Here is a 23,635-nt window from a genome sequence, read left to right as displayed (position 1 = left end):
ACTGACAAACATAAAATAACTAGAAAGATGTATAATATATGATCAAATATTAAAGAGTAATGCACAGTTAAAGAAAAGTACACATAATACAGGTGTTTGTATTCTGAGAGAATGATGAACTAAAACTACTGGTCTCAAATGCATTCATGATCTGCTAAAAAAAACAAATGAGGACTACATAGAAAACTAAATCAATAAATAAACGTAGGAACCAAGAGAGGTAAATAGAATGTAGAAACTGACCTTTATGCTGTGATGGCATTTTGCTAAACCTAATGAAATTGAGATTTGGTTTACATGATCTTCAAGGCTGAGAGATAGAAGACAATCCTAGGAGCCACTCAAGTTGGAGAGTCTAACTAGTAGACACCTGTTGATAAATCTGGGACCCTAAGAGCAAGACCCTCAAAACTGGATTAGTTATAAACTTTCTTACTGACAGCCCCTGAAATATTGCCTATCTCAAAGCTTGGGGCTAAGACTAGAAAGGGTAGAAAATTCTTCCCTTATTACTTGTAACCACAGACCACAACTGTCCCAGGGAAAAGTCTTCAGGGGCTTTAACATCCATGGAGCTGTCATCTCCTAAGATAACAATGCCTTCTTTGGGAATACTTCTTGAAGGACCTGCCTGAGGCTGTTTTACAGTTAACTTTTTTTTGATAAGTAAGAATACACTCTAAAATAACAGTAAAAATATGGTCCAGTTGGCCCTCCATATCCATGTGTTCTACATCTATGAATTCAATCAACCTCAGATTTAAAAAAAAGTAAATTCCAGGCCTCCTGCCTGCGGCATTTCCAGCCAGAGCAACCCACCCACCCATGGTTTCCCCCTGCAGAAGCGACCCTACCCACAGCACCCCAAGCTGGAGTGCCTCCCGGCCACAACGCCTCCACCACTTCTGCTGGAGCACACCTCCCAAGCCCACGGTGCCCCCTACCAGAGCACCTCCCACCCTCAGTGCCCCTGCCAGAGTGCCTTTCGCCCACAGCCCTGCCCACTGGAGCATATCCTGCCCACAGTGCCCCTGCTGCCCCTGCTGGAGCACCTACACCCATGCCCTGTCAATGGTCTGGGAACACCCCAGCCTCTCTATCCCAGCCAAAGCTCAACAGTGAGAGACCAGAGGACAAAGCTGCTGACCCAGTCCCAGTCCCACAGGGTTAGAGCATGCATCCCAGCAGTATGGAGCTGAGTCTTGCCCCCTAAAAGCATCCAGAAATGAAGTGATTCAACTATATCCAGCTTACACCACAGTCAAAAAACCCTAAGGGCAATAAAGATCATAAAAACAAAAAGCCTCACCCAAAGGACAATAACTTCAAATAATAAAGAATCATCAGCTGTCACAGAAGAAAGACCCAGCACAAGAACTCTGGCAACTCTAAAAACCAGCATGTCTTCTTACCTCCAGATGATCACACTAGCTCCCCAGTAGTGGATCCTAACCAGAATGAAATGGCTGAAATGCCAGGCAGAGAATTCAGAATCGGGATGATAAGGAAGCACACTGAGACACAAGAAGAGGTTGAAACCCAACCCAGGCAAAACAGTAAAACAACCCAACAGTTGAAAGATGACATAACCATTTAAAAAAAGACCAAACTGAACTTCTGGAAATGAAAAATTCCAGGAATTTCAAAATACAATTGGATGCATTAAAAGCAGAATAGACCAAGTTGAGAAAAGAATCTGGCAGCTTGGCCAGGCATGGTGGCTCACACCTGTAATCCCAGCACTTTGGGAAGCCAAGGCAGGTGGATCATCTGAGGTCAGGAGTTTGAGACCAGCCTGTCCAACATGGCAAAACCCCATCTCTATTAAAAATACAAAAATTAGCTGGGCATGGTGGCACATGCTTGTAGAGTCAAGTACTCGGGAGACTGAGGCTGGAGAATCGCTTGAACCCAGGAGGTGGAGGTTGCAGTGAGCCAAGATCACGCCACTGCACTACAGTCTAGGAGACAGAGCAAGACTCTGTCTCAATAAATAAATAAATAAAAATGAAAAATAAAAACCTCACAGCTTGAAGGTCACTCCTTTGAAGCAACAAAGGAAGACAAAAATAAAGAAAAAATAATTTAAAAAAATAACAGAATAGCTGAGAAATAGGGGATTACATAGAGACCAAACCTGTAACTCATTTGCATTCCAGAAAGAGGAGAAACAACAAGCAACCTGGAAAACGTATTTGAGGATATAGTCCATGAAAATTTTCCCAATCTTGCTTGAGAGGGTGATATACAAATTCAAGAAACTCAGAGAACACCTGTGAGATACTATGCAAGATGATCATCCCCAAAGCACAGTCATCAGATTCTCCAAGGTCAATGCAAAAGAAAAAATCTTAAAAGCATCTAGAGAAAAACTTACAAAGGGAACCCTATCAGGTTAACAATGGACCTTTTAGTAGAAACCTTATAAGCCAGAAGAGATTTGGGGTCTGTTTTCAATATCCTTGAAGAAAAGAAATTCCAACCAAGAATTCCATATCATTCCAAACTAAACCTCATCAGCAAAGGAGAAATGAAATCCTTTTCAAACAAGCAAAGCTAAGAGTATTCATTACCCCTAGACCTGCCTTACAAGAGCTTCTAAAGGAAGTGCTAAACATGGAAATTAATGAATGATACCTGCCACCATAAAGACATACTTAAGCACATACTTCATTGATATTATAAAGCAACTATATGATCAAGTCTACATAATAGCCAGCTAATAGCATGATGACAGGATCAAATCCTCACAGTCCAATACCGACCCTGAATTTAAATGGACTAAATGCCCCCACTTAAAAGGGATAGTGTGCCCAGTTAGATAAAGAAGCACAAACCAACTGACTATGGTCTTCAAGAGACACATCTCACAAGTAACAACATATATAGGCTCAAAGTAAAGAAATGGAGAAAGATCTATCAGGCTAATAGGAAACAAAAAACGGGTAGCTATTCATACATCAGATAAAACAGGCTTTAAACCAACAATGATCAAAAAGGACAAAGAAAGGGCATTACATAATGATAAAGGGCTCAATCCAACAAGAACACTTAATTATTTTAAATATATACACACCCAACCCAACAGTGGAGCACCCAGATTTTAAAAAAAAGTTCTTAGCGATCTGTGAAGAGATTCAGACAACCAAACAATAATACTCAGGACTTCAACCCCCACTAATAGCATTAGACAGATCATCAAGGCAGTAAACCAGCAAAGATATTCCGGACTTAAACTTGACACTTGACTAACTGGACCTAATAGACATCTACAGAACACTCCAACCATCAACAAGAAAGTATACATTCTTCTCATCTGCACATGGCACATACTCTGACTGACTACATGCTCAGTTATAAGGCAAGTCTCAGCAAATTCAAAAATCAAAATAAAATCAACCACACACTTGGACAACAGCACAATAAAAATAGCAATCAATATTGAACAGTCCAATAATGAGTTCAGAAATTAAATCAATAATAAAAAGTCTACCAACCAAAAAAAGCCCTAGACCAGATGGATTCACAGTTGAATTCTACCAGATATACAAAGAAGAGCTAGTGCCAATCCTACTAAATTTATTTCAAAAAATTGAGAAGGAGGGACTACTCTCTAATTCAGACTACAAAGCCAGCATCATTCTGATACCAAAGCCCAGCAGAGACACAGAAAAAAAAAAAAAAGCTTCATGCCAACGTCCCTGATGAACACAGATGTAAAAATCCTCAACAAAATACAAGCAAATTCAGAAGCACATCAAAAAGCTCATTCATCATGATCAAGTAGACTTTATTCCTGGGATGCAAAGTTGGTTCAACATACACAAATCAATAAATGTGATTCACCACATAAACTGAATTCATAATAAAAACCATATGACCATCTGAATAGACACAGAAAAGGCCTTCAAAAAAATTCATCATCCCTTCATGTTAAAAACCATCAACAAATTAGGCATCAAAGGAAAACACTTCAAAATAATAAGACCCATATAACATAAACCTATAGACAATGTCATCTTACTGAATGGGCAAAAGCTGGAAGCATTCCCCTTGAGAACTGGAAAAAGACAAGGATGCCCATTTTCACTGCTCCTATTCAACATAGTACTAGAAGTCCTAACCAGAGCTATCAGGCAAGAAAAAGAAATAAAAGGCATCTAAATTAGGGAGACAGAAAGCTAAACTGTCTATCTGCATGGACAATATAATTCTATACCTAGGAAAACCCACAGACTCCATCATAAGGCTTCTAGAACTGATAAACAACCTTAGTAAAGTTTCAGGATACAAAATCAATGTAAGAAAATCAGTAGCATTTCTATACACCAATAATGTCTAGGCTCAGCAAAATCAAGAACACAATCCCATTTATAGTAGCCAGAAAAAGAATAAAATACCTAAGGATACAGCTTACTAAGGAGGGGAAAGATGTCTACAATGAGCAATACAATGCATTGCTGAAAGAAATCAGAGGCAACATAAACAAATGGAAACACATTCCATGCTCAAGGATAAGAAGAATCAACATTGATAAAATGACCATACTACCCAAAGCAATTTACAGATTCAGTGCCATTCCTATCATACTACCAATGTCATTTTTCACAGAATTAGAAAAAAAATTATAAAAATCTATATGGAGGAACCAAAAGAGAGCTAGAATAGCCACAGCAATCCTAATAAAAAGAATGAATCCAGAGGCATAACATTACCTAACCTCAAACTATATTACAAAGCTACAGTAACTGAAACAGCATGGTACTGGTATGAAAACAGAAACATGGACCAATGGAACAGGATAGAGAACCCAGAAATAAAGCCACACACCTACAACTACCTGATCATTGACAAAGTCAGCAATAACAAACAATGGGGAAAGTATTTCCTATTCAATAAATGGTGTTGAGATAACTTGCTAGCCACATGCAGAAGATTGAAACCAGACCCCTTCCTCTCACCATATACAAAAATTAACTCAACATGGATTAAAGACTTAAATCTAAGACCTAAACCAATAAAAACCCTAGGAGAAAACCAAGTAAATACCATTCTGGACGTTGGCCTTGGCAAAGAATTTATGACTAAGTCTTCAAAAACAATGCAACAAAACAAAAAATTGACAAGTAGGACCTAATTAAACTAAACAGCTTCTGCACAGCAAAAGAAACTACCAACAGAGTAAACAGACAACCTACAGAATGGGAGAAAATATTTGCAAACTATGCATCTGACAAAGGTCTAATATCCAGAATTTATAAAAAACTTGAATCAGTAAGCAAAAAACAAATAACCCCATTATAAAATGGTCAAAGAACATGAACAGACATTTCTTAAAAGAAGACATACATGTGGCCAACAAATATATGAAAAAATGCTCATATCATCACTAATCATTAGATAAATGCAAATCAAAACCACAATGATACGCTGGTGAAAAGGGAGAATACTTATACATTGGAGAAAAGGGAACACTTATACACTGCTGGTGGGAGTGTAAATTAGTTCATCCATTGTGGAAAGCAGTGTGGAGATTCCTCAAAGAACTTAAAACAGAATTACCATTTGACCCAGCAATACCACTATTGGGTATATATCCAAATGAAAATAAATCATTCTACCAAAAAGACACATGTTAATCACAGCACTATTTACAACAGCAGACACGGAATCAACCAAGATGTCCATCATCGATGGACTGAATAAAGAAAATGTGGTACATATACACCATAGAATACTACACAGACATAAAAAATAATGAAATATCTTTTGCAGCAACATGGATACAGATGGAGGACATTATCCTAAGCAAACTAACATAAGAACAGAAAACCAAATATTGCATGTTCTCACTTATAAGTGGGAGCCAGACGATGAATACACATGAATACAAAGAAGGGAACAAAGACACTGGGGACCACTTGATGGGGGAGGGTGAGGGGAAGGCATATCTTGGAAGTCCGCCTATCTGGTACTGTGCTCACTACCTTGGTAATGGGATCATTCATATACCAAGCCTCAGCGACCCACAATTTACCCATGTAACAAACCCGCATATGTAGCCCCGAACTTAAAATTTTAAAAATAAATAAAAACAAAATATAAAATATAAAATTTCACAAAGTTCCAAAAAGTAAAACTTGAATTTACTGTGTGCCAAGTACTACACTGTATTCACACAAATGAAGTGATGTGTAGGTATTGTGATAGGTATTGTAAGAAATCTAGAGATGATTTAAAGTATACAGAAGCATGTGCATAGGTTATACACAAATATTATGCCATTTTATATTGGGGAGCATTGGTGGATTTTGGTATCCACGGGAGGGGTCGAGTGGGTTCCTAGAAGGAATCCCATAAAGATATGGAGGGAAAACTATATAGTACATCATAAACCAAAAACAGGGTCACTTATTATAATTAACAAGTATTGTGTGCCATAGATAACTGTATGTGCTACGCTTTGATATGACTGGCAGCTCAGTAGGTTTGTTTACATCAGCATCAGCAAAAATATATATGTAATAAGTTGCGGTATGATGTTATAATGGCTATGATATCACTAGACAACAGGAGCTTTTCAGCTCCTTTATAGTCTAGGTAACCACCATTGTAAATGTGGTCCATCGTTGACCAAAATGTTGTTACTCAGTGTATGACTATATAGGTATGTGTGTTGTATGTAAACTGAAAGTGTTTCGGAAAGACCAGGACTTGGCAAACTACAGCCCACAGGCCAAATATGCTCTATCACCTGTTTTTGTATGGCCCACAAGTTAATAATGGCCTCTATGTTTTAAAATGGTTAGAAAAAATGTCAAAAGAAGAATATGTCATATGTGAAAATGATATGAAATACAAATTTCAGGGTCCATAAATAAGTTTTATTGAAACACAGCTCTGCCCATTCATTTACATATTATTTATGGCTGCTTTTGTGTTACAAAGGGAAAGTTAAGTACTTGAAACAGAGACCAACTGGCCTGCAAAGAATCATGTATATGATACCAATTTAAGTTATCTAAATACACACATACACACATACATATACACATGCATATTTCCTAATTCTATCCACTGAGATGGCCCAGAAACAATGATAACTCAAAAAGGATAAGCACACCTTGCACTCAAATCTTAGTTTCTAAACAGCATTCTCCACTAAAAGTCATTAGAACTCCTTGGAGAAATGGCTGATTCCAGAGCTAGGACTGCAAAAGTATAAGATGAGCCTGGAACATCTTGTTGGGCCAGAAAGGAAGGAAGTACTTAAAGAATGAGGACACATCAAAAGACCACAGGACCCTTCTTGAGAAATCAGAGAAAATATGAACATCAAAATAAATAATAATAGTAAAGGATTACATCCCTCTTTTGTTCCCTGTATGCAAAAAAAAAAAAAAAACTTTGCTAATGGAATCAGAATTCCTGAGGGCTAAAAGTATGACCCCCTGTAATATTAATACAAGTACATTTTAACAGATATTCACAGCTTTAAAAGGCGTGACTCCAAGGGTTAATGCCTTAGTGGTAGAATGAAAAGCAGTAGGTGAAGCACACATGCTCTATCAGGAGTGCAATGAAGTAAAGTTAGACTTAGGCAGAGGTATGTGTGTGCTTATCCATAACGTGTTTATATATATTTGAAAGATATGAACTCTCTGAGAGGGACAGGAGAACCATGCTGTGGAATAAGGAAGAACCTCTGATATCTAGGTCAGGCAGACAGATGGCAATGAGGGGTGGGGGAGATTGAAAGTAGAACACACACGAACACACACGTGTGCACACACATACACACACACAGGAAATGGGATGAAATGACCCAAAGTAAAGGAGTTAGCTAGTTCTAACATTAATGTGAGCAAAGGCATGAAAGAGGAAATAAGTTTATTGGACAACTATTGTTATTATCTTCTTTCCCAACTTCCCTTCCCTTGGTAATAAAACACCCCTTTCCTGTAGTAAACCCATTCCACAAACTGATCCCACACCCATTGTCCTAGGGGATAAGGACCATATGTCCCAGGATTGAGCATTCAGTATGTCCTGTATGTCCCTGGCTGCGGCGATTCATTCCAAGTGGGCACCTGACCTAAATGAACACAATCAGAATCCTCTGCAGCAGTGCTTCCCAGACTGTAATGTGCATTTAAATCACCAGGAGACCTTTTTAAAATGACAGTTCTCACCCAGAATGTCTAGGGTAGGGCTTGAGATCCTGGGCTTCCAATAAGCTTCCCAGTGATGCTAATACTGCTGGTTCAAGGACACAATTTTGAACATTAAGGCTCTTCAGAACCTTTTGCCAGAGCAATCAGAGATGAAGCGCTCTTTATACTAGAACTGCTAAGTGACAGACTGTGATTCTCAAGCTGTTGGCTTTTCCAAAAGCTGCAAGGTTTTTTTTTCATGTTTCTGTCACTCACGTCTTTGTATGTTCTCTGTCATTAGGTTATACACTCATGGAAAACAAAAGTCATATGTTTAACTTCTGTTACTCTCCACAATGCCTTTTTTGGTGTTTTAAACATAAAGATACATAATCAATGTTCTTCAACAACCAACTTGGAAAAAAACTTGAATTCTTTAGATGAAAGAGATGGAGAAGGTATTTTAATGAAATTGTAAAGGACAGGAAGGAGGAGGATCAGCTACTAGCTATCACTATTGAGGTAAAAATAACACATCCTCAGGATATCCCTAAGATAATCTTAGATCCTAAACCCACCCAGCTATGAAAAACTGGCATCACTCATAATCCCTGAAGTAGGTCATTTTGAAGAATAACAAGCCAATACCCATGAAATGCCAAAAAGCAAGCCCCAAAAACAAGTCTGAAGAAACTAGCAGAAAAATATTATTAATCTTATTTCACATTTACTCAGTGCTTCCCAGGATATTCCTAAACTAAAAACTATGGTCTCTAACCTGGGGGTCTATAATTGACATTGTCTATTTCTTTTTAAGCCATAAAAAGGAAGTTTTATGAAAAAAAAGGGACTACAATAGACATTTCCCAAAAGAGGATTACAAATGGCCAAAATGTAGATGAAAAAAATCATCAAGGAAATTCATTAAATTAAAACCACAATGAGATATCATCTCACACCTGTTAGGATGGGTATTTTATAAAAAAGACAACAGATAAGTGTGGGTGAGAATGTGGAGAGAAGAAAACCCTGTACATTGTTGCTGTCAATATAAATTAGTACAATCATTATAAAAAAGAGTATGGAGGTTCCTAAAAAAATTAAAATTAGAGCTACCATATGAACCAGCAATCCCATTTCCAGGTATATTCTGAAGGAAATAAAATTAGTATGTTGAAAACGTATCTGTACTCCCATGTTCATTGCAGCATTATTCACAATAACCAAGATATGGAATCAACCTAAGCATCTTTAAATAATGAATGGATAAAGAAAATGTGGTATATATATGCACAGTGGAATACAATTTAGCCTCAAACAGAAGTAAATCCTGTAATTTTTGACAACATGGACAAACCTGGAGGATATTATGCTAAGTGAAATAAGCCAGGCACAGAAAAACAAATACAACATGATCTCACTCATATGAGAAATCTAAAAAAGTTGAACTCATAGAAGCTGAGAGTAGAATGGTAGTTATCAGAGGCTATGGTCATGTAGGGTGATTGGGGAGATGTTGGTCAAAGGATACAAAATTTCAGTTAGACAGGAGGAATTAGTTCAACATGGTGATTATATTTAATAACAATGTATTGTATACTTGAAAACTGCTAAGACTTTAAATGTTCTTTAATAAAATCTTTAAATAAGACATTAAATGTTATTACAAAAAAGATAAGTATGTGAGGTAACATATATGTTAATTGGTTTTAGTCATTCTATAATGTGTGTATATATATATATCAAAACATTATCTTGTATACCACAAATATATACAACTTTTATTTGTTGATTTAAAAAATGTTTAAAACAAAACCAAACAATGCCCAGAGACTAGTTGACAGTTCTAAACTACTTTTTAAGATATTTTGGGGTGTATAATTAAGTCACTGTGATACCTTCCTGTGCATCCAGGATAAACAAGCCTAACTGTTTCACTTCCAGAAGTATCCTCCTTATGGAGAATCCCAACTTCCTTACTTGCATGGAAGCAAAATTTTTTAAAGAAGAAAATACCCTCCTCTTTTAACCAAGCCCAATGCCCTTAATGGTCAGGCAATTATTTTCCTTCCTGAGCAAGCTGAGTTTCAGTCCTACAAAAAAAAAAACATCTTTAATACTAAAAACAAATAAAAAGGAAACAAATTCAACCCGTCTAATAACCTGGACAGACAGACAGATACACACACACACACACACACACACACACACACACACACACACACACAGGTTGTTAAATACAGAAAGAATGTATTGTTGATTTAAGGGGAATTCCATATTCTTTAAGTACCAGACAGGTAAATGGCAGAGATGATATACAATCATGACAATTTGAAAATCTGGTAGATAGAGCTTGCAGTTTTTGCCATGACAGCATCAGACTCACCTTCCCAATGTAAACAACTATGAAACTGGACAAAATATATGAAGCAGATGTTGACTAGCTCAGGGCTGTGATCCTTGGGAGAAGACAGACATATAAAAGCCACGTTCATCTCGGCTTTCTGCCTGAGGGTACTTACAGATCATAGCATAGGGAAGTGGAGCTAGAGACAGAACAGAGGTCTCACTGGGTAGATGAAATAGAAGTCAGAATTTGGGTCTGTTGAGGCTACTGGAATTTGGGTGAAGAGGAATGGAGAGGAGGGAACCTTGTAGAGAAGGAACTCCAGAAGTCTGCATAGGGGTCTCTTGAGTATTTGGCTAAATATTAGGATGTGGGTACACAGGGTATAATTCCACAAAGCCTAGCAAAATATAACTATTGAGGGGCTGTGAGATGAAGAGTATCTATGGGTCACATGGAACTGGGAGACATTGCAATTCCAACCAAATAGAGTGAAGAGACCTCAATGAATACCCAGATTATATATCTGAAGTCCAAGAACAGCCATGCCTTAGGTGTGAGGCGACTCTGTGTCAAGAAACAATGTGAATATTTTCATGTTTCTGCATGGTAATGGCCTTCTGAGCAAAGAAAATTGGCACTTTGATTAAAGGGTGACTGAATAGATAGAAATGATAAGAGCAATATGGACATTTAGGCCGGGCGCAGTGGCTCACGCCTGTAATCACAGCACGTTGGGAGGCCAAGGCAGGCAGATCATCTGAGGTCAGGAGTTTGAGACCAGCATGGCCAACATGGTAAAACCCTGACTCTACTAAAAGTAAAAAAATAAGTTGGGCATGGTGGCACACACCTGTAGTCCCAGCTACTCGGGAGGCTGAGGCAGGAGAATTGCTTGAACCCTGGAGGCGGAGGTTGCGGTGAACGGAGATCGCGCCAGTGCACTACAGCCTGGGCGACAGAGCAGTGAGACTGGGTCTCAAAGAAAAAAAAAGAGCAATATGGAAATTTATCTCTAAGAACTATGTGTTTACATTTCAAAGGGTATCAAAAATGTGGAGCCATTTGTTTATATTCCAAAAGATTATTGGCCAAAACACCTTTGACTTTTCTCTTCAGAGAGGATTTGTTTACATTAGGAAGACAAGGTCTCAGTTTCTCTCTGTGTTCTCTCTTTCCGTCCTGGAGGGGAGAAGGTGCAGTTATGTAAGCAGCTTCTATATAAGCTTCAAGACTAAGAATTTGGGGTTTCTCTCATGTACTAGAGGCCCCTCCTCATACATGCAGGTGACATCTGCATTTATCACAGCACCATGGGAAAAAAATGGAGCATGGGAAACTAATACAAGATATTCTGCAGGTAAATAATCAGTCTGCCTCAGATACACAAATCTTATGTTTACTGTCGTAACAAAAAAAATATGGATGTGTTACAGTAAGTAGCTAGCCAGGCTCCAGTGGGGCTGGAGAGGGCTCCCCAGCAACCAGGAATGTCAGGCGACCCTCAGGTGATGGTCAGGCAGTTGTTACACTGTTTCTCTAAAATAAGAATTGGTTGCAGCAGGCACCAGGGAAAGGCAGTCTCCCAATAGATAGAAAAAAACCTGAAACTGATACTCAGTAGTTTCCCAATAAGATCTACTGATAATTAGTGGCTTCACACTGGAGTTGGGCAAGTGGGCTCAAGCATGTGCATTAAGAGGCAAAATGTCAGAGTTTAACTGGTATATGACCTTCTAGGAACAGTTGACTGGTAAGGGAAGAATGCCTCAAGTGAGCATGTGTGCAACTCCAGTAAACACACTGTGCATGCGGCCTCTCCCAAATGCCAGCAGGCCATTGCACATATGGACAGCCCACTGCAAGGGAAGAATCAGGGGAGAAGGGATGCAAGACCTGGGAAGTATGCCAACGTATAAAACTCTAAATCAAAGGCCAAACTGGGCACTTGATCTCTCAAGTTGCCCACTTGGCCCTCTTCCAAGTGTAATTTACTCCCTTTCATTCCTGCCCTAAAGCTTTTTAATAAACTTTCACTCCTGCTCTAAAACTTGCCTTGGTCTCTCCTTTTGCCTTATGCCCCTCAGTCAAATTCTTTCTTCTGAGGAGGCAAGAATTGAGGTTGCTGCAGACCCATATAGATTTGCCGCTGGTAACAGATATAAAAATATACTACTCTAGTTCTATAATAAGTATCACTTTAGATCTTCCTTAAAAAAAAAACTAAACTAAAAATAAACCTCAACAGGATCAACCTGATTCTCTAGTAGCTATCAAAACAAAACTCAATAATCCTTAAATCTCTCAACAGAACATCCACAATGCCCAGAATACAATCAAAACAATTGCCAGATGAGGAAGAAGCAATAAAAATTGAAACATATATTAACGAGAAAAAAAGTCACTGTAACAGTACTAAAGATGACACAAATGTTGGAATTAGTAGATAAGAACTTTAAAACAGCTATTTATATAGATTTTTAAAATCTATACAATCACGTAGATATTTTTGCTTCTGACAGAGGGCTATCTTACCTTTTCATAAATGAGTTAGGAAACAGCTGAAGCAAGATCTCTGTTTTTCTCCCCCCACTTCGAGTTGTCCCGCCTTTCTGGACCAAACCAATGTATTTCTTAAATGTATTTGATTGATGTCTCGTGCCTCCCTAAAATGTATAAAACCAAGCTGCACCCTGACCACCTTGTGCACATGTTCTTGGGACGTCCTGAGGGCTGTGTCACGGTCCATGGTCACTCACATTTGGCTTAGAATAAATCTCTTCAAATATTTTACAGAGTTTGACTCTCTTCATTGATACTACCTCAAATCCCTTTTGGAAGTATTTCTATAATATAAGTACAAGAAATGCACTAGGGGAAACTAGTTATATATCTTAAGTTTGTTTCTAAGTGGATTTTGAATTTAATATACTTATACTTTGTTTCTGAATATTCTTTGAATTTTCATGCCTTTGTAAAACAAAATACAAAGGAAATCATAAAACGTATGTTGGTCTCAATTTATCATACTTGTTTGTTTCTGAACACCACCCAGTATGTAATCATGAGTAATTAATTTTAAGGCCCTTATGCACCAAAATTTTTCCTGCAACTTTTAGAACCTTCACGTGAATAAAATCCAAAGGGACCTTTGGTACATCAGTGTTTTCAAAACTGCTAACTCACTGCTATGAATAGCTATCAGCCTCTCAAATATGTATGTGTGAACTCAGACTGACACAAGGTATGCAAGCAGCCTGCTCCCAGGCCTTAGTTTAATTTTAGTTCCAGAAGCCTTCTTTTTAGAAAAACTCTCTCTCTCGCTTACACACACACACACACACACACACACACACACACACACACATAACCTTTACAGTAATAAAAATGGAGGCTTACAATTATAGAAGAATATCTGGAAAATTTCCTGTGAGTTTGCAATCATATATATATTTATAAGTTGGTTGAGAAGGTACAGGTAAAAAACCCTCCAACTGACTCATAATGTCCATTAAAGAAAGGCAATCTTTTAATAGAAAACGATTACAATTTTGCAAAGATTAATTTCAACAACATTTTATAAAATGAAGTTGGAAAGCATACACGGTAGCACTCTCCACTTTATAATGTTATAAATAAAATCCATGAGAGTATCTGTATGTATTTTTGTACTTACAGCATTAATGCTTTAAATGGTTATAGATGCTGATATAAGGAGGATAATAAAAGAAGCTATGTAATAATAATTTAAAAAGTGACTGCTATCCATTAGATTTTTTTGCTTTTTGCTGCTTCAAAGGTAATGCAAAAGGAATACAACAAATGTAACAGAGGGTCCCCAGTTTCCCCATTACGTTGTACATTGGCCCCCTTTTCTTTTTTTCTTTTCTTTTTTTTTTTTTTACTCTCTACTACCCCTGCCCCATGAACTCTGACTCTTCAGTAAATTGCAAGGCTTGTGGAAAATCGTCCTCAGAAACTATCATTCTATAACATTTTAGAATAATTTTTGCTTTTGATCTCTAAAAGGAAAAACAGCACTTTAATAAAGTAGTATTGAAATAAGATATACAATGAAAAACCATAGAAAAATTATTTTAGTATAAGTGCTGTGTTTCAAATAAAATAAATTTAGACCCAATAATTACATCAGCCCTGAGGATGATCAAACAAATTGATCTTACCTCAAAGTCTATTTTTCTGAAGCGGTAGAACATATCTATCATTAGTTGTGAATATCTATTTTCACCTATTTTCTGACTAAAAGAATTCAAAAGCTGGAGCTAGGCTTTACAGTCAGACCTACTAAGGCACTATATGCCACCTTACTATACTCAGAGGGGTTTACTCACAAAGAAGGAATAAAGCAGCATGGATGAAAACAAATGCCCCTATTTTTAAATCTTGTTTTTATGGGTCCTCCTTACATTATGCCCATCACATTTAGAAAAATGCAATTAAATGTTTGTCTGAAGGCGAATCACGTGTCAACCATTTGGTAAACCCCTCAAGAGGAGTTCAGTAGATAAATGGGTACTGATAATGAAATTTCCTTGACAAGCATGTACTCATTTCTCAAATTTAAAACTTAGCAGATGGTCAGAAAAGATCTGTCAATAGTTGATTTCCTCTGTTTAACTCAGTAAGAAGATTTGCATATCATTGGTTATCTGCTAACAAAGGAAAAGTAAAGGCATTCTAACAGTATGCTGCATACTAGAACTAAGGGAAATGATTTTCCTTCAAGCCAAAATAATGTAAGTGACACTTGCAATCCTGGAAGGCACAAGAATAAAACCTTGTATCTCAACTACAGGAATACTATCTAACAACCTGAGCTCATAAAAAATATCCATATAGGCCGGCGCAGTGGCTCACGCCTGTAATCCCAGCACTTTGGGAGGCCAAGGCGGGAGGATCACGAGGTCAGGCTAACACAGTGAAACACCGTCTCTGCTAAAAACACACACAAAAAAATTAGCCGGGCATGGTGGCGGGCGCCTGTAGTCCCAACTACTCAGGAGGCTGAGGCAGGAGAATGCCATGAACCCAGGAGGCGGAGCTTGCAGTGAGCTGAGATTGCGCTACTGCGCTCCAGCCTGGGCGACAGAGCGAGACTCCGTCTCAAAAAAAAAAAAAAAAAAAAAAATCCATATATTCTGAAGGTCAGTGAAATAATTTCCTCCTTAAAATACCAACTAGTACTAAATTAGACAACTGCAGGGCAGTTTAAGGTTTCCTAAATAGAAATAGATTCTTTTCTAGAAATATAATTGATATAGGGTGACTTATCAAGCTGAAATATAACTTGAGAAAAATGCAAGGAGAATGATTTCCTGATAAAGGTAAAATTATAAACCATTTTCAGTAAAATTTTGAAAACAGCCCGGAGGATTATCTTGTCTTAGAGAATAGTGATGAAGGAAAAGTCACACCCCAAAGCGTGTGCTTCAGTGACCTTTAACCATACTATATGTACTAACATATGTACTAACAAAGGTCATTAGAGAACTTAAAACAGCATTCCTTCCTAAAAAAAAAAAAAAAAAAAAACCTAGTTTAAAATTTTCAGTGATATCATAAAGAAAAAGCTGAGTCCAAATAACATTGTCTTACTAAAGTAAGAAAAGAGGTATGAGAGGTCATTCCGGCAGAGAAGACTATTTTAACAGTGACGTAGGTTAGAAATTCCAATGCAAAGTGACAATAAAAAGCAACATTATTTTTGTCAGTTTTATTGTTTTTAAATGTCTTACAGACAACGTACCTCATTGTCTGTACCCTGGGACACACCACACCCACCACCCTAACCCTGATATACCCCACTGCATAAATAAAAGTTTTAGTTTCTCTAGAAATTATGGGCAAGATCCTTACTGACAAATCAGCAAATTAACCTGGAAGCCCAAAACAACTGCCAAGAGAACTTTGATTTGCTTATGGCTTTAAACCTCACAGGTCCACACATTAAACACAGACTAAATGACCTAGTAATAACATAAAAATGGACACACCAAAAAGAGTTCTTAGATCACACAGAAAAATATTTCTGTTTGAGGAATTAAGTTCTCCTTATAAATCTTTTCAATACAACTAGTGATACCTGTACTAAGAACACATACATGCTAGATGCTGAAGAGGCTGTAGTAAGCAGTACAGACATATTCCTCTGCCTTTGTCAAGTTTACAGTCTAACAGAAGGGACAATATAAAATGAAAGTACAATAAACTCTAACACTGCAATAATAGTGGAAATATAAGAAGCTATATCTCACAGAATTTTTCAAATTTTTTCATCTAACCCATAGTAAGAAACATATTTACATTGTAACCCAGTTTCCATGTTGTCTATAGTAAAATAACATACACACATATGCATAGACATATCCATATATAATTAAAACTGGAAAATTTTTATGCAACAGTGTATGCTTTTAAAATGTGTGACAAACTCTGATATTTTCCATTCCATTTTAATTTGTCTGGTTTTAAATCACTAAATTGATCTTAGGATCCCTATATGGGTTTTGACCTGAAGTTTGAATAACACAGACCACTGGTATTTTTAAGTCAGCTGCATTTTTAAAATAAAGGTACAAATTCCTGAGCCCTACCTAAAACTACTGAATTAGAGTCCATGGAAGATAGGTCCCAGAAAGCTGGCACTGTAAAACCTGGCAACTCTATTATGCCAGGATATAGAAGAACAATTGTGCCCTGAATATATACTGTAGCTATCACTACAGGTTATCTGACAGCCCAGCTATCTGAGATATCTGTATCTTGAGTAAAGTTCACAGAAATGTTTTCAAAGTTGTTCTCTCTGATTTTTCCCTCCTCAGACCCAATATATTCACTATACCACCTCCTGGACCACAAGCATCAACAAAAACAGAGCAGGAAACATACTGTGCCTCAAAAGCAGATCCGCTGGAAACACTAGAGGAAGGTATACTGTGAAAGCCATATAAAAACACAAAGAAAGCAATCACAGAGAGAATTTTTAAAAGCCTCAAAATTGTCAGCTGACTTCTATCTTTATTTTCTTGAGAAATCACACTTTTTAAAGAAAGTTGTAAATATTAATCTCATTAATCTTAACTTTGTTTTGCTGGGTGAGCAGAACTCCTTTCCAGGTTGGGAAGAAAACTTCCCAGATATAGGCAACCAAAACCAACTTCCTACAGAGCTAGGAATTTAGGAGTTTAGAAATTCAGATATCCTGGGGACCTGGGAACATCATAACCCCTATATAACCAAATTTATATATCTCTTTAAATTACTCCCCATAAACAAGAAGCAAAAGAAGTAATGAGTTCCACCACAGGTTGGGGGAATCTAAAAGTTTGTATCTTAAACAGAGAATATTTTGCATATTGTAAAAACGAGACACTATCTTCTCTAAAGAGTTGTTAATGATTTTTAGGAGGAAATTCCCCTAAAAAAAATGAGTGACCCTTCCATTGCCATTGAAAAGAAATTCTGCCTCCCCAACAAGATAGAATAATGGCACCTGGAATGTTGCATTCAAAATATACTAAGAGGAATATGAAAAGTCTATCAAAAAAACTTTAATATTTTTTCCCACAGAAGAGAAAAAAGAGAAAGAGTATTTTCTTCAAAATAATGTCTATTTGCAAAGCTCACTGTCTTCAGATAATTTCTGTCTTTTAGAGACATAGTACAGGATGATTGGGTTAAAACAAGTCTGATGGCAGACATGCAAAAAACATGCCAACAGACAACACACAAAAATTAAACTAGTTTTTAATACAGAAGCATAGACCTGGAGTTCAGAAAAAGATATGCTCTAAATCTTTTTATATATATTTTTTACCCTCTTATAAAAGCAGATTCAAAGAACAGCTTTGAAGTGAAACTAAAGAACTGAGGGCATTAAAAAGCCCAGTTCAAACTAAGTGGCTCCTGGGAAGGAGGAGAAGGAAAGAATTAGGGAAAAAGTAGGGGCCCTTTTGCATTGAAAAGTCTTACTGTACGTCTCAGCTCCAATTCTAAATGAGACATCATCACAATATAAAGGATAATATGCTTCAAATAGTTAGAAAACTAAATTTATACATTTCTATATTCTAATCCACTGTCTCTTAGCAGCATTAATTCTAAGCAGAGATACTAAGTTAGAAGGCAATTTGGCCTAATTAGCAAGTGGCTCAGTGACAAATATAGCCTGCTGTATTAAAATTGCTTAGTAGCTATACAAATTGTAGCTGACAATTTATGAAAGAAATTCTAATTCAACTGACCAGTGCCGTGAATGTCAAACAAAGGACAGCAAAATATACATTGAAATTTCTATGTACTCATGTTTTACAAAAGAGCAACTCTAAAGCATAATTAAATCAAAAGCACATGCTATATTAATTTCATCATGTTAGCATTACAGGCAAGAATACACACAAGAGCTTTGCTTTTCCACAAAGAACTTTGTCTTATCATTTTCTAATTTAAAATCTTCCATGCTAGTAAAATTCTCCAAGGTATTTACAATCTTAATCTAAAGCACTAGAACTCACACAATCAAGTTATAATGAATGACAACTTGGGAGTTTCCACTTACCTAGATATATTGTTAAAGCTGAGAAAGAGATGTTGGAGGCAGGGCAAATTATCCACATCTCTCTGGAAGAAAATAGACAGCAAAACTTAATCAGATGAAAGAAAAAAATATTATAAATGTCTTCTTGCTAAGCTATTGAAATATATAATCATTTCTATTTACTGCAACATTGCTACATCACTGATTTCTACTGGACAGTGAGCTCCACTCTCCTCCACTGCAGATTAAATGGGAGGGTTTCAGTACATCCGCAGAACAAGCTGCACCACTCGCAAGGTAAAAAGCACTGAGGAGACAGGGAGAGACGCTGCCGCTAGCCTCTTTAAGCATGCTTTTGGGAAAGATGCCAAAATGCTACTTCAGCACTTCAACTGTAGCACAAATACAGTATGATCAAACATTTGTTAAAAATCACTGTTAAAAAGAAGCCATTCAAAAGCTTTAACATTTAAATTTATACAATTAGCTTTCTAAACAATAGTGAGAATTTTAAAGCTATTTAACTCACTGGTCTCAAAACCTTGGAAATAAACCATCAGTTACAAATGAACCAATACACTAATGATTCCCCCATAAAACTAAAAGCAAATCATGGTAAGTGTCACTGAAGGGTACTGTAAGGGCAATTTCTCATCTAAGCTCATATCAGAGGTTCTTAAAATAGGAAATCTACCCTATTATATTTATGCACACCACCCCAAAAACATACCACTGCTGTTTAAATACAGTTAACCTTAACAAATATTGAATTGCTTAGGACCAAATTATTTAAAAAAAAACAACAAAAAATAAAGTAAAAGCTACCTAATTCATTTCATGAAAAGACATAAACCTTCTGAAAAGATTTATATATAATGGAGTAACAGAATCTTACAGACGCTTGGTAATTACCAAGTCTACAACTTTATTATTCACCTAGAAAAGTGACCAATCGAGGTTACTACAGGGGGAGAATAAGGGTGTGGTGGGAAGGTGGCCCAGGAGTACATACAGTCAGTCCCTAGAGGCTGAGACAGGGAAAGATTCCAGTATCCTGACTTCCAGTGCTCTGATCCTCAAAGTGTTACATACTGCCATGTCTCATATAAAATGTTTTTCGTTTTTAAGGGCAGTATCATTTGCAGTAATTCTCAGTTACATTAATTTGAATAATACAAAAATAAGTATATTTTATATGTTATTGTGACCAATATTTAATCCTAAATCAAAACTTGTTTTACTGTTTCCATAAATCATCGTCTTTCTTCCTCCCTCCTTTTCTTCCCTCCATCTGAAAACTACCATTTCTAAGACCCGAGTAAGAGTTTAGGCAAGTGCATTAAAATTATTGACAAACCTAGCTTTTCCCAAAATGCTGTATTTATTTTTTTAAAGTTTGTTATTCAAAGAAAATATAAAAGTGATAGAATTAGGACAGAACCACTTTTTAATGGTTTTTCAGGGAGCAAAGGAAAAATGAAGCTGCCTTGTTTTTCTACCTACCCTATGTACTATTCTCCAAACTTCTCTCAACCCTTTAGACCCTAAACAGTGTAAAATCAATACAATAGCCCATGATCAATACACTGGCTATGTATACCATTCATTTGACATTACCATTCTCAGGCCCACTCCCATGAAGCCTATTCCACAGATGTGAGATAATGATTTTTAGAGCTTTTCATGGCCAAGGAGTAAGTCTGTGGAAACAGGAGGGCAGCCAAATTTCCCTCAGTAGGTGATATACTTCATATGTTGGCAAACTTTTAAAATCATCTCTTTCAGCTACTTCTCTCTGATATTCCCATAAATGGAGGAGGAGTGATAGACTAGTGGTAGGGCTCATTTCACTCCAGGGCCCTAGTTTCCAAAGGAAATGGCAGCCTGCTGCCTATCTGGTCTCTAGAAACATGAAGTCATAGCCAGACTGAAAACCCTCTCTGTATTCCTGGGGAAATCTCTTCTCCCAGATTCTTCCTGGAATCTACCTGAGATATTTCTGGGCACAATCATTGTTATTGGCACTCAACCTGGAGAAACTGAGAGGTAGCAGCCTTTAAAAATACATTTTAAATCCTTTGAATCAAGGCATCTCATTTAAAAAATACATCTGTCCCTTTGAGCTCCAGCATGCCATCTTCAGAGATTATAAACACCTTCTAAGACATAACTTTTTTCAATAAAAATAGAAAACTCAAATTCCATCAGGATATAATTTGTGAGAAAAAGTTTTTTAAGTTTATTTGACAAAATTATAATTATTTAATCTCTGTTTATGAGACAAAATTTTACGTCTTTATCAAATTTTAAAAATCATTAAATGTCATTGCCTAGTAGAGTTATCAAAAATATAAAAATATTCACAAGTTGAAACACTAAAATGCAGAATTCAATTCTATATATCCTCATAATCACTTACATAGATACCCTTTCCAGAACTTTAAAAAGCAAATAATTATACACAATCATTTTTCGTTGTTCCAAATTTCATTTCTGTAAGAAAATGTTAACTTTTCTCCAATTTTTTAGCAATTCTGTGATATACTTTTGTAACAAAATTCTAGCATTATAATAGACAAAAAGAAAACACCGTATTTACCGTATCAATTATCTATGCATGCATTATTTACAGAAGAAAGACCTGTTAAAAACTACTAGGGGATGGCTCCTCTAATATAAGAGAGTAAACAAAAGATGGGATATATATAAGATTCAGGGAGTACAATTCATCATCTAGGAGAGGCAAAGAGAAATCCAAGGATGAAATCTGTATAGCAGGGCTAAATGCAAGCAGACTTCATTAGACAGGGGACAGGAGGCTCTAGAAGGGTATCTCCAAGAGGTAAAAATGAAACACAGATCACCTGAAGTCTTTGCCTATACAGAAAGGGATTTTAGGGTTTTGTTGGAGAGTTTGGACATTAATGATAGTTAAACAAGCCCTAAATTGAGACAGCTATTAATCTCAGGGAAAACAAAAGTTTAACATCATGGTCCAAGACTCACTTTGAAAACCTCACCGTGCTTTGTCAACCATCCTAATCTATTCTATCATAAATGTATCCATTTTCATTAAGCCCCTGCATTGAAAGACCCACCCTAAACCAGAACCCCAAGAAATTTCAAACTAAATCTCCTGTCTCTGCCTTCGAAGATACAGCCAAGGCTATGTCAAGGCAGTGTGCTTTTACTTGCCAGTAGTAATTTCTCCTTTGCTTTATCAACTAGTCATTCTGGCGGTACTCTGCAGGAGCCAGCACTCAACAATCTGCTTACCTAAAAATTATTTCGGAATGACAGGGAAAGTGGAAATGGGGGTTAGGGATAATGTAAGAAAGGTAAATTCTCATCTATTTAAGAAAAAGTATTTATTTTACTGTCAAGCATTAAATACCCCTAACATATCCTTTCTGGAGGTAACTATTTCAGCATCAGAGAAACTATAACAAAGAAGCCAGAATGTTAACATACCTAAGATGAGAGGGAAAAAAATGAAATAAAATGTTTACATGTAGGGGAATATTTATAGCTCGTTATTAATTTCCTCATTATCTTAAATTTATTATTTTTAATAAAACATAATACTGAAAATAATATTCAAAACATTTTTTGAAGTAAAATTCAAAACTATTTTATGTATTTGGAAAATATAATCTTTTAAAAAATAGAAAAAATTATTTACCACAAGATTATTTGAGAGGATTATAATTCTTTATTTTCCAAAAAAATACTGATTTGTTTTCTGAGAAAAATGCTTGTCCTACTCTGCTCAGGCACTGTTGTCCATATCCCTAAACTGCATAAAAGAACTAAATGGCCAGGTGTGGTGGCTTGTGCCTGTAATCCCAGCAATTTGGGAGGTGAGGTGGGTGCATCATTTGAGATCAGGAGTTCGAGACCAGCCTGACCAGTGTGGTGAAACCCCATCTCTACTAAAAATACAAAAATTAGCCAGGCACGGAGGCGTGTGCCTATAGTCCCAGCTACTTGGGAGGCTGAGACGGGAGAATTGTTTGAACGAGGGAGGCGGAGGTTGCAGTTAGCCGAGATTGCGCCTCTGTACTCTAGCCTGGACAACAGAGCAAGACTCCATCTCAAAAAAAAAAAAAAAAAAAAAGACAGAGAAAGAAAAAAGAAAAGAAAAGAACTAAATGATTCAGCAATCTGATCACGTGGGGAATATCTATCACTGGAGCTATTTTTAGAGCAGCTTCCTCTAGAGGAATAAGGAAGAAGAAAGGTGAACAGATTTTGACATGCACCAAGGATTCTGACATGCAACAAGTAGGGCAAAGATGTCTATAATAAAATCATAGCTACTCTCATTTTTACTATGTAGGCTTTCATACAAAACAAGTTAGAGTAAAAATATATAGGGGTAATTATTCTAACTTTGAGAGCTGTAAACAGATTCATTCACAAAGCATCAAACAAGCTTGGAAACAAAAAACAATGAAGTATTCCTTTTTAAAAAAAAGACTTATTAAATTAATTCCAAAATAACTACTTGCTTCACCTATCACTTTGTGACACAGACACTTATTATATGAGGACTAATAGCTGCAAGCCATCATATTA

General features: G+C 36.7%; 1 protein-coding gene across 5 annotated transcripts in view; it reads right to left on the bottom strand.

Annotated features, from left to right (window-relative positions):
• The window catches only part of LRRC49 (leucine rich repeat containing 49), a 200,281-nt gene that overhangs the window by 97,758 nt on the left and 78,888 nt on the right, over nucleotides 1-23,635 (bottom strand). For all 5 annotated transcript variants that reach the window (NM_001284357.2, NM_001199017.3, NM_001363732.2 and 2 more), the window contains one exon: nucleotides 19,079-19,140. In NM_001284357.2, the coding sequence (NP_001271286.1) occupies nucleotides 19,079-19,140 (62 nt within the window). The remainder of the gene's footprint in view (nucleotides 1-19,078; nucleotides 19,141-23,635) is intronic.

The sequence above is a fragment of the Homo sapiens genome, chromosome 15 (assembly GCF_000001405.40).
Source record: "Homo sapiens chromosome 15, GRCh38.p14 Primary Assembly".
NCBI classification, from domain to species: Eukaryota; Metazoa; Chordata; class Mammalia; order Primates; family Hominidae; genus Homo; species Homo sapiens.
Note: the sequence above shows the minus strand (reverse complement) of the source record. Positions and strands in the feature narration are given on the sequence as shown.